This window comes from Homo sapiens, chromosome 14, assembly GCF_000001405.40.
Source record: "Homo sapiens chromosome 14, GRCh38.p14 Primary Assembly".
In the NCBI taxonomy this organism is placed as follows: domain Eukaryota; kingdom Metazoa; phylum Chordata; class Mammalia; order Primates; family Hominidae; genus Homo; species Homo sapiens.
In genome coordinates, this window is record NC_000014.9 from 36,867,391 (window position 1) to 36,880,250 (window position 12,860).

The 12,860-nt window shown below is 39.0% G+C and overlaps 1 protein-coding gene across 4 annotated transcripts in view; it reads right to left on the minus strand.

Moving 5' to 3' along the window:
• The window catches only part of SLC25A21 (solute carrier family 25 member 21), a 494,686-nt gene that overhangs the window by 189,470 nt on the left and 292,356 nt on the right, over window positions 1–12,860 (minus strand). For all 4 annotated transcript variants that reach the window (XM_047431871.1, NM_001171170.2, NM_030631.4 and 1 more), the window contains exon 2: window positions 7,566–7,614. In XM_047431871.1, the coding sequence (XP_047287827.1) occupies window positions 7,566–7,614 (49 nt within the window). The remainder of the gene's footprint in view (window positions 1–7,565; window positions 7,615–12,860) is intronic.

Here is a 12,860-nt window from a genome sequence, read left to right on the forward strand (position 1 = left end):
TTTGATTATTACCAAATACTCACTTCTTCAACAACATTCACTGGGCACCTCCTGAAGGCCAGGCATGGTGCTAGCTCTGGAGGATACCGAATAATGTCAGCACACAGCCCCAAAACGACGTGTGGCACGAGGCCAGCAGGAACACAGACACTAAACCAAGGCTCTTCTGCCCAGAAGGATGCTCTACTTGCAAACACCTTGCTGAGGAAGGATTTGAATGTAGTGCTTACATAACACGTAAGTCTTGTAGCTTAGAAACTTGAAACTGCTTGACTGCATAGTAAACACTTCCCCCTCCCATACTTGTACCCTCACTCAGGTTTCTTCACTAACCTGTAGACTCCATTTGTCTTTGTATTCCCCCCATTTTTGCTAAACCAGGATTAAACACCATGCTTTCGTGTGTGTGTGTGTGTGTGTGTGTGTGTGTGTACACTCATTTATTTTTCATAATAATGTGGATGCCATTATTGCTCCTATTTAAATATGAGGAAACTAAGGCACAGAGGAGATAACTTAATGAGGTCACATAGGTAATGAGTGGAGGAGTCAGGATTTGAACCCAGGCAGCCCAACTCTAGAGCCAAAGCTATTTACACACACACAAACACCAAGGACCATGCAAACTTGAAGCTGCCAAGGCTATCTAGTGCCAAATGAGACAAGCTCCCCCAAAATGAAGCCTATATAAGAAAAGGAGAGCGGAGAAAAGGAGGGAGAGAGGGAGAAAGAGAGTGTATCAGAGAAATATAATTAAAGATTATTTTATTTGAACCGCTGGAGAGTATGAAGCCAGAAACTACCCTTTGGCCTTCCCATTTATACAAGTGAATGAGGTCTTTTGTCATTTGTAGCCATAGGTTCTTAATGAGGGGTCCACTCACAATTATACACACAGCTCTGTTTGTGTATAAACAGAACTATAAAACAATATATACAGATGTCTCTGGGGAGGTTCTCAAAGGAGACCTTGATTCTACATAACTGCCATATGTACAGCTTCTTAGTCAAATATCCTCTGCTAAAATTAGCTGGGGACCCTTAGAACACATCACTTGTCATGCGGCTGGCCTCTGCTAACATTAGGTCTATCCCTGGTGACATATTTGCATGGAGCAGAATAAACTTTTTTCCTATATTAAGTGCCACAGTGCCTGGAATCTCGCCATAAAATATGTATCAATGATAATTTCTAACCATCTTTTAAAATACAAAGTGAGTTTGAAGCAAGCCTCTTGGCAATTCAACATGCTGAACTGAAAATGCATGTTTCTCTTAATGCTTTCTCCAAACCCTTCAAAAACGACAGTATGTCAGTCCCCATTCTGCTTATCTTCAAATCAATTTCTTACTCCTGCCTTGTCCTACTCTGCTCTGTAATGTGAAGGGGCTGACCTCTGCAAGCCTGGTTTCCCAGACTTCCCTGGGTTCAGCAAATAGGAGCACTGGTGAGTGGGATTCTGAAGGTAGGGAGAGAAGGGAGAAAGCAGAGGACTTCTCCCATCCCTCTCTACCTCAGGCAGGCAGTGGCTGCATCCTGAGGCTCCATCTCCCACTGGAGAGACCTACCATGATTCTAGCTCCCAGCAGGGTTATCAGGTCCTGGGCTCTGGCAACACCACCTTCTCCCTTTGTCCCTTCAGCCTGGGGTGGTGGTGCTATTACTAATCTCTAGGTCGCCTCACAGTCCTTTGCTGGCTCCTTAGCAATTCTGCAATCTGGACAGAATTGAGGCAGGGACACCATTCAACTCAATACAAAGCAATATAAGTATAATATTTAGAAATATCAAAGTGAATTACAACAGGATCAGCTAAAAGTCAAAGGTCCTTACCTCTGGAATTCCTTGCATTGACTTTGCATAGTTTCAAATACTCAGAGTGGGTGTATTCTCCTGATTGGGCCATGACTAACACAGGCAACAAAAGAATAATAATTATCAATAAGCATAAACCCACAGGGACAAAGAGGGTGGAGCAGGAAGTAACAGTGAATGTACAATGTCAACTCATTTTTGCAAGATTTCGGATGGAGGAATGGTCACTGCCCTAACAGGGCAGAGAAGGCTGCACTCTAAGTACCTAAAGAAGGGATTGCCAGGAAAGACCCTGGGATATCCCTGGGATGCCTCAGGCCTCGGAGGTACCAGATGACTTGAAAAGTGGGAATATGTAACTAGAAGCAAGAGCACTGCTTGAAAGTCCATATATGTTTTCTCTCCCACCTCACACTAAAGACCTGAGGCTTACTCTTTGGAGACTATAAGAACAGCTTCAGACTGGGAGCCACTAGGTACAGTGGAGGGTAGGAGAGTGGCCCCATACCAGAAACAAGAGGATGACGATAATATTTTCATCCTTAACAGTGGGACCCTCCCACACACACAATCTTGATTGAAAGATTCTTCATTGGAGAAATAGTATCCCCAGAAAAGACATTTAAATCTTGATATTGGAAGAGAGATGAGAGAGGACCTAACAAAAAAGCCAAGTAATTTCCAAAATTCCACGTTCAACAAGCCCCACCACATTATCTGCTAAGAGTTTGACAATGTGGAAATAGTAGGGAAAAGGAACCTGAAGAAACATTTAGGAAGACATTGCAATTAACAATAGCCTTATAGAGAACTAAATAATGAAAATATGAGGCAATAATTAACTCCAGAAAAATAATCCTTGAGCACTACTTGGTTCAGCAGTGAACAATGTTTGTGTACTCAAAATAATGCAAACAATTGATTATGGATCAATAATGCGACAGATGTAAGAAGGGGAAATGGGGACAGTGTGTAATTCTAGACGTCATAAAAAACATTTACAGTTGACAAATTAAGAATGAGTGATGTATTAGTTTCCTAGGGCTGCATCACAAATTACCACAAACCCTGTGGCTTAAAACAACAAAAATTTATTCTTTCACAGTTCAGAAGTCCAGAAGTCCAAAATCAAGGTGTCATCAGTGTTGGCTCCTCTTAAAGGCTCTGAAGGAGAATCTGGTCCATACCTCTCTCTGAGCTTCTGGGGATTGTCAGCAGTCCTTGGTATTCACAGTCTTGTAGCTGCAGAATTCTAATCTCTGCCATCAGAGAAGATGGCATCCGGCCATCTTTACAGCATGTCTCTTTCTGTGAGTCTCTTTCCTTGTTCTTAGAATACCAGTCATAGTGGACTTAGGGCACACTCTATTCCACATGACCACCTCTTAAGTTGAATAATCACATCTGCGAAGACCCTGCTTCCAAATAAAGTCACCTTCTGAGGTTCTGGGAAGGATGTGAATTGGGGCAGGGACACTGTTCAACTCAATACAACCAGTATATGTATAATATTCAGAAATGTTGAAGTGAATTACAATGAAATCAGCTAAAAGTCAAAGGTCCTTGCCTCTGGAATGGGAACCGGTGGGTGGAGAGGACATGGTAGGGGAATGATGTTCATGCTTATAAGGCTTGGAAAAGACATACCTATGGCACACTGACACCATGTCCCTTCCTTCAGGCCAGCAGGAGTATCATATTTCTTCTCCTTCTGGTTGTTTAGGTGTGGTCAAGTGGCTAGTTCCTAATGATAGGTTGGGTGAAAAGGACACGTGTGGTCAGAGCTCTAACCACCAGGGTGAGACCGTTCAGCTCTATTCTTCCTGCCACAGGGATGGGGAAAGCACGTGTTCAAACAGAGCTTCTTTCAGTCTGAGCAGAGTGTCCCCTGGCTATGGTCTGAATGTTTGTGCCCCTGCCCCCCCAAATCCATATGGTGAAATCCAACCCCGCAAGGTGATGGCATCAGGAGTGGGGCCTTTAGGAGGTCATGAGGGTAGAGCCCTCAGGAATGGGATTAGTGCCCTTATATGAGAGACCCTGGAGTGATGCCTTGCTCTTTCACCATGTGAGGACACAGCAAGAAGGCACCCTTTATGAACCAGGAAACAGGCCGTTACCAGACATCAAACCTGCCAGCACCTTGAGCTTAGACATCTCAGCCTCCAGTATGGTGAGAAATAAATTTCTGTTGTCTATAAGTTACCCAGTTTATGATATTTTGTTATAGAAGCCTGGACAGATGAACATACCCAGTTGTATCAGACATGAAATCCTTGTTTTTGTAATCTGCTGAGATTTAAAGTTTGTTGATGTTACAGCCACATAACCTAGCCTGTCTTAATTGACACAAGGCTTGGAGTATTATTTGAATTTGATACAACATACATGTACTATTTTGATAAATATTAAAATAAATAACATAAACCATAAACTGTAAGAGATAATATATGAAACCACTTAGCATTGGTGATTTTAGCAGGTCACTTTTTAAATGACACAGTATTCCGAGAGTACTGGATTCTAAGTTGTGGCAGGCATTGTCAAAGTGGGGCATGGGATACATGAACCCAAACCTTACTTCACAATTTTTTTTAATTGGATTTTATTTTATTTTTTTACACTTTATTGTTTTATTCTGAATTTTAAAAAATTTAGTATAGAAAACTTAGAAAGCACAGAAAATCATAAAAATTACAGGAAAAATTACCACATTCAGAAATAACTATATTTCTAGGTATTATCAGCTAGGTAAAATTTCAATCAGCAGGGATGAGAGTGCAGGCAATTTTGGGAAAACAAAGGCAGAGAATTAAGAAAGATAGGATTGTATTCACGTAAGCTATTTAAATTAACTGGATCAAAAAGAAGTGGAAAGTAAATCTGAAAGATTAGATTGGAGGATTATCATCATAAATGGCCTTAAATGTGAGGGTGACTATTATTACTTAAGGAGAAGTATACTGAATTAATCCAAATATGGATATGGCTCATTTTCCACAATATCTCATGTGCTGGAGTATGGCAAAATAAATGTGTCTACTTTTTGGAGTCAAGTCTTGTTTTGGGGTTCTATTTCTGCCTAATCTTTTTCTTGCTGAATGAATAACAACAGGTTCTAAAAATTTACTTTCAAACTCCTCTTTAAAGTGGATTTTTAAAACTCTATAAATGATCAATACTATTCCCTGGGTATGAATTTGTTTCTATTTAGAAACACAGTCATCTCCTGTATAATGTGATGGTGAAGAGGTTCCCACATGTGAGTCTGCTCCTGCCTACTTGATGTCATCTCTCTGTTAGTGCCTAGGTGATAAATCCTATCAATCTTGCATATTCTACTTCTGTTGCAGTGTCAGTTGCCCATACTTGTGGCTTTCAGTTTACTCTATGATTGTGAATCTTTATTCAACATACTTATCATTATGCAGGTCAAATACCACCCAGTATCCAATTCCCCTCTCCTTCGGAGCACCTGGAAGGACTGTATCTTCCTCCCTGCTGAAGTTAGGCAAAGTCATGTGACTAACTCTAATGAATGAATGCCATTTTAATGAAAATATTTATGTAACAAAAAAGATATAAAGCCCCAGTAACTTGTTATATCCATTTCAAGAAGTTTTCAATTCAATTCCAGTACAACAAAATGATACAGCTTTTGAAGTTCATTGTGATGAGATCTCAATTAGCTAATCAGACTGTGAGCTCTCTGAGGGCAGAGCTATCCTGAAACCCACATGCACTAGATGCTCAATACACGTGTGTTGAATGGATGAATTAAACATTGAGTGAATGAGTGACCATAATTCTAATATTGTGTCTTGATTAAATCATTCTTATTTCTCCTCTATGTTCATTGGAACAGTTTACTAAGTTAGGAAATTACCCTCAAATGAAAAAGATTATTTTCTCAGTGACATTAGCAACAATAATCTGGCTTCTCAAAGAAGGTTAACATGGAATCTAAGAAGGAAATCCCAGGGAGTTTTGCTTTCTGTTTCAGAACCTTGTAATAAAGATGGCCCAGGGGTGCGCATACCTTACATTTGAATATAATTTGTGGTTTTCTTTTTCTTTTTTCTTTTATTGATTTATTTATTTTTTCTTGAGATGGGGTCTTGCTCTGTCGCCCAAGCTGAAGTGCAGTGGTGCGATCTCGGCTCACTGCAACCTCTACCTCCCGGGTTCAAGTGATTCTTCTGCCTCAGCCTCCTGAGTAGCTCGGATTACAGGGGTGTGCCACCATGCCCGGTTAATTTTTGTATTTTTAGTAGAGACGGGGTTTCACCATGTTGGCCAGGCTGGTCTCAAACTCCTGAACTCAGATGATCCACCTCCCTCTGCCTCCCAAAGTGCTAGGATTACAGGCGTGAGCCACCGCGCAGGGCCCCTGGTTTTCTTCTTTCTCTTTGAGTTTAGTGATTTGAGGCTGTTACAAACTGAATGTTTGTGACCCTCCAGAATGTGTATGTTGAAGCCCTAACCCACAATGCAACGGTATTTGGAAGTGAGGTCTTTGGGGGGTGATTAGGTTTAAATGAGGTCATGAGGGTCTTGCCCCCATGATGGGATTAATGGCTTTATAAGAAGAGGAAGAGACAACAGAGCTTCCTCTCTCTGTCATGTAAGTATACAGCAAGAAGGAGGCCCTCTACAGTTAGGAAGAGGGCCCTCACCAAGAACTGAATCAGCCAAGACCTTAATCTTGGAATTCCTAGCCACCAAAACTGTAAATATGAATGTCTGTTGTTTAAGCCACCCAGTCTATAATATTTTGTTACAGCAGCTCCATCTAAGACAGAGGCCAAACTCCCATCTTCCCTACCTCTATTAGAAATGTAATATTATTTTTGCATGCCACAGTCACCTTCTCTTGCTTTCAGCAACCAGCCTAAGATTCTGCTGCCTTTTTAGGTAGAGTAAGTAACACATCCATCCAATGACCAGCCTGAATTATCAAATATTTCCTAATTGAGGCAGTAATGGTTTCTTTAACCACCATTATTGCACAGCATTGTTGGCTGTTAGGCTCCAACCTAGGCATGGTGCTTTTGGGTTTCATATAGTGCAAATAAATGGAAATTTTCACTAGACTCCAAGAGCTTCCAATTTGAAAAAATAGAAAGTTCAGTAATTCAGCCACAGGTTTAACTTTTTAAAAATGCTCTAGATCATATTATACCCCACAAAGTTTTGTTATTTTTCTTTTTTTCCCTCTTGGTAATAGATTTAATACATTGCCCTGGCTTGCACTGACCATATTATGCCCCTGCAGTTTCCTGAAAATATGGCATTTTGCATTGGCAAACAGTAATAGGAATAAATTCTTTAAGCACTATGTAAAAAGCTTACTTGAAATTTTGAAGTCTCATACCAAAATGCTGACTATTAAATAGAGATCTGTTAGGCAATGCCAAATGAAAATGTGCTGTCATAATCCACTGGATAAAGTTTAGTTTTTACATCATTTTGATAAATTTACCTCATTTACCAATATAGCTACAAATCATATCTTACGGTTGTCATATAAAGGCAGTAAAATATTACATACTTCAGATGACCTTCACCCAGAAATGCTTTTCACTGTTCACATTTTATCTGTCAAATAGTACTTTCTTTAGAAGCAAATATAACTGCCATTACAGAGAGAAGCTACCGGCCTGGGACAAGTCCTAGCATTTAGTGCTCTGACAGATCTTAATTTGGATATTAGCCAAAGTCAATAAAACTTGTTCATGCAGAACCTTACCTGGTTTTCACCACATCTAGGGGGTGCATCAGGCAAATTTCTACAAGACCTGAAAGATGATAAAGAAAATCCAATAAACACTTATGTAAACACTGGTTCTTATTTCCTTGATCCCGTCGATTTCTCGAGTGTGAGGGTTCAGATAAAGAACTTGGGACTTCGGATATGACAGCTAATAGTAATAGGCTAGTGGCAAAAGACAGAAGCATAATATGATTTTATTTCAATGGAAGTAAGATATGTGAGCGAGTACTTTCTTACAAGTGCTCTGGCAGGGAGGTAGGGCTGGAGGGGAAAGAAAATTTAAAAAATAATCAGACGTGCTAATTCAAATCAACTGGGTGGGAGTTATGGCTTCCCATTCCAACCCAATAATAAGGATATGTGGAAGGAAGGGAGGAAAGAAAAGAAGGAAGAGCAGGAGGCTCTTTGAATCTCTCCCAGCTTTGGTATGTTAGTAAACATAGCAAATCAGAAACCTCAGTTTCAGTATCCATGAAACAAAGAAAATGATGCCTCTTCTCTCCCAAGGTAGTTATGAAAATACAATACATATCAATACATTAATAGCTTAATAGAGAATATTTCTTGTGGGATCACTGTGTGCTAGGCATTGTTCTAAGCAGTACTTAGATTACCTCATTTAATCGTCACAAGAACTTTATGTGATAGAATGTAGTATCCCCATTGTACAAATGAGAAAATTGAAGCATATAAGTTAAATAACTTGTCTAAGACGTTACATCTAGGAAGTAGTTTTAATTCCCATAAAGCCCTGATCTTAACCATTGCTCAGTGAAAGAACTATAACTTCTTGCAAATAAATTGTAACACTCTCTCTCCTATCATCCAACTGAGCAGAGAAGACTACTCAATTATAATACAAACTACTGGCATGTAACAATAGGAGTAGTACAGTAGTATTAGGTACTAGTAGTTGTAAAAATAATTATAGTAGTCATCATTATGGTATTATAGAGGTAATAACAGTAATAGTTACCTATATATGGATGGTCATTTAACATACACGGTCACTGATATGCACAACGAATGGACAAGGTAAGTATCATTATCATCTTTCCTTTAAGATAAGAAAACTGAGGTTGATAATGTTCAACTGATTCGCCCAAAGGCCATACAACAGTATTTGTGAGTAGTTTCTTATAGGCAGAGCATTTACCTCCATTTATAAACTAACTCAACTTGAATTTAGCCATGATGTAGTTTATCTTCCCCATCCCATATTTATCCACACAAATGTCTTTTCCTTCCCATACTGACCAGGTCCAGAAAGCTCAAAGGGCCTGTACCTACCTGAAGGCCCACTTTGCTTCTGCAGAAGCCTTAGGAAGTTTTCCCTGCATATGCCTGCTCTAGGTTGCAAAGTCCTATGTATTGACCAAAACTGTCTTACTTTGGCTACAACTAATAAGATCCAATATGGATGATGTTTGTGCCAAAGGCTTCCCAAGTCAAGCACCCAGTTGGAGTCTCATTGCCTAGAGACAGGAGGAGACAGGCTCAGGTGAGCAGAGGCCACAGGATCGCTGGACATGACAGCAAAGCCTCTAGGTACTGTTTTAGCTTTATTATTAAGCCCTGTTACTCAAGGTAGCATGAGCAGAAATCTTCCTTGCTAACTGTTAAGGTCTCCATATACTTCTCCTTGCTTGAGAATTCACATTTACCCCCAAAGTAAGAATCAGGTGACCAGAATTTTTGTTCTGGTGCCTTCATGGACTCATCATTTACCCATGATGATACCAGTTCCTTATCTGTAAAGCAAAAGATTAAATGGCCTAGAATAACTTTGAGGTTTAATATTCTATGTTTGTTGCTGTTTTTGAATCTGACTCACATATATATATATGAAATATGTATATATATGAAATATATATATATGAAATGAGGTCATGAGGGTCTTGCCCCCATGATGGGATTATAGATAGATAGATAGATAGATAGATAGATAGATAGATAGATACACACACACACATACATATACATATATTATTTATAATTCTAATTTAAGCTTTATTATATTAGTTATAAGATAAAACCCTAATCCTATTTAAAAAATTTACTCTGGGAACTCAGACTTTAAAAATAGCATCCTTACCACACACTGTAGCAGAAATTCATTAAGTGCACTTCCACGCACATAAGGAAATAAGATACTCAGAATCAGTTTACCAAAGCAAGTACACAAAGCTTCTCCCACTGACTTGACATTAGAGTAGAAGCAAAAAACACACACCAAATAGCGCTAGTTGGTACATTTCTCAAAAAGTTTACCAAAAGAACCCACAATACCAACAACTTATTAAAGCTTACAGCAAGACTTGGAGAATCAGACCACATTTATATAAATCTGTTTACCTATTTGCAAAATTGTTTCAGTTTTCTATGTGCTAATGCACATTTCTGGTAGTAAACAGATAATAGATCAGATGATTATACTTCAGTGATTACTTAAAATTATTTTCAATCCCCTATGATGGTCCCCTAGTATGCACCAAAACACTCATTTATTCACTTGACAAACTTGCACTGGTTGCCCTCTATGTGTCTGGTATTGAGGATAGAGTCTAGTGAGGGGAACAAACAGACATATAAGAACAAATAGTAATGCATGGGAGGAGGTGCAATGCTCAGAGTTTATGGGAGCACCTCAGAGAGAGGCCCCTGACCTAGCATGGGAGCAGGTGAGGGGTAGGGAAGGGATTCAAGGCAGACAGAGGACAGCATGAGCATGAGGCATGGAGGAAAGATATTGCACAGAAAAAAGAAGAAAAGAGGCAAGAAGCACTTGAGCATTACAGCAGCCTAGGGTTGAAGGCAGGGTATGGCAAGAGATGAGGCTGGAAGTGTGCAGGTGAGGCTCAAGTTCATGTTTAGTCACTTCCACTTTATCCCATAGGCCACGAGGAGCCAGTGAAGGATTTTCTTTTTTTAATAGCTCTTGGTTGTTTTTTCTTATTACCAATGTACTCCATGTTTATTGAAGACATTTCGAGGAGTTGTAAGCAGAGGAGTGGTATTGACCTCTGCTAATGTGCTCTCCCAATAATCTAATCATCTTCTCCATTTAATCCCCGCAGTGCTCCCAATCACAGTTATTCACTTGCAAGTACAACAGCACTGATGTCCCAGCCCTCTCTCCATTGGTAAACAGTTTACCAGTAAAAACACCTTCTCTCATCATAGCATAGATGTCTTGGTGTCCCATGCACCTCTAGATTTGAGAGTCAATGGCCATCTATGAAACTACCTGCAAAACTGTGACATGGCCAAAAGGAAAATGGGACCTAAATGGTCAAATATAACATATTTGGTCCAGGATCTCTATGTGATTATTTATTCACTGTTATTTTTAGTCAAAACAAGTAATTTGTAGAATTTAAGTTAGTGATAAAATGCATTACAGGCAGAGAGAACAGAAATGTTGGAAATTATATGGAAGCTGTGACTTTAATCAGAGTTCAGAGTTAAATCTGGATTCACTCAGAGTGGGAATGGATGCTTGCTGTCCTCCACAGACAGCTAAAGACTGTGAGACCCTGATTATTATTTATGAAGATAACCATATAAATAGAATCAGATTAATCGTGTTACATAGGCCTAGAAGTGACCTCAAGAAACTGAGTGGTACCATGTGCTTATTGACAATTCTATGACCTACTATGAAGGCACAAACTAAATAATGAGCTAGTGAGCACAAATTTTAATAATTTCTCTATTCTCATAAAATTAAAAATCTAACATAGAAAAGAAGATGACTCTGAAATATCAGCTTCCATTTAATAATCCATCCTAATTGCGATTTTAAGACACTCTGATATCAAGACAAATAAGACCTAGAAGTATTGCTTTTACCAACCTGGCATTTATTACACTCACCAGCCACAGAGGAATTAAATGATTCAATCTCCCCTACTCATTCATGATATAAAAATTGTACTGCCAACCACCAACCATAGTAACACCTTCTCTGGGGAAAAAAGTTACAACTTCATAGTATTTGAGAAGGAATATGAAAAAAATACATAAGAACTTAAATATAAATTTAGATCAGTGCTTTTCTTAGACTCTCTAGCTGATTTTACATTTAAATTTGGTGTTTGATCTTAAAACCAGAAAAAAGTCATTTTAGAGATAAAATGTCTTCAAGTCATGCTTAATTTTAAATGGGCTGGACTATTTGTAACTTCCATTCATTTTGGGAATAAAAAGCAGAATCAAAACATAACCACATGACAGTATGAAAATAATTAGAAAAACATAAAACACATATTTTCTCAAATAACATACTACATTTCAGAAAGCTAAAAATGTTCCATATGTTATTTTTATTTCAGGCAACTGCTGATTTATCACAATAACAAGTAAACAAGAATTACTATTAGATTTGTTTAAACTAGACAAAATACTGATTTTATAAGGCTGAACATTATAAAAATTAGAAAAGCCCCAAAGCAGACTGATACTGTAAATTTAATATATTGTAAATGTTTTCATTGTTTCTGCAGATTCATGTCATGTTAGTGAGCATGACTATATCTCTAAGATTTGAATGAAACTGGTAATTTGACCCTACCACAGGCACAAAAATGCATGGGTTATCCCCTGAACTTTTACCTTGGGATAGCCCCTGGATGCCCTGGCCCTTGAACTGCCTCAAGTACATGCCTTCGCCTGAGCCAATATTGGGAAAAAATTAACACCACCATGTCATAAACCCTTCTCCCAGACTTCATCTTTTCTGAGAAGATCCCCTGGGCAGCCTGTTCAACCACAAAACTTGACTGATCATTAACACCACCCCCACCTTCCTCTGAAATAACCTGCACCACACTCTTTTCCAAAAAAAAAAAAGTACAAACATTGTCACACAATGATTAATCATGATTGGTGAGAGACCAGTTTCTTCTCAGTGTTCAATTCCTAGAACTTTTTCTTTACTCAGGAATGTTTTTCTTCCGTAAGGACACATGTACATATACTTCTGAGAATCCTACTAACCTTCAGATCTCAATTTAGGCAACCATTTTCCCAGAAATCCTGGGGCAAAGATGGTTAATTTTTCTCTTAGTAGGCATCCCCTCTTCTTCCTGGCCACTCAGAAAAAATATTGCATTTCCCAGCTTCTTTTGCTGCTCAGCATCACAATGTGACTAAGTTCTGGCCAAAGGGATGTAAGGGAAAGTGGTTTGAGCAACATCTGGGAAGTTTTTTAAAGAGAAGGAGCCTGGTCTTCTCTTTCTCCCATCTTACTAGTGGAATATGGACACAGGC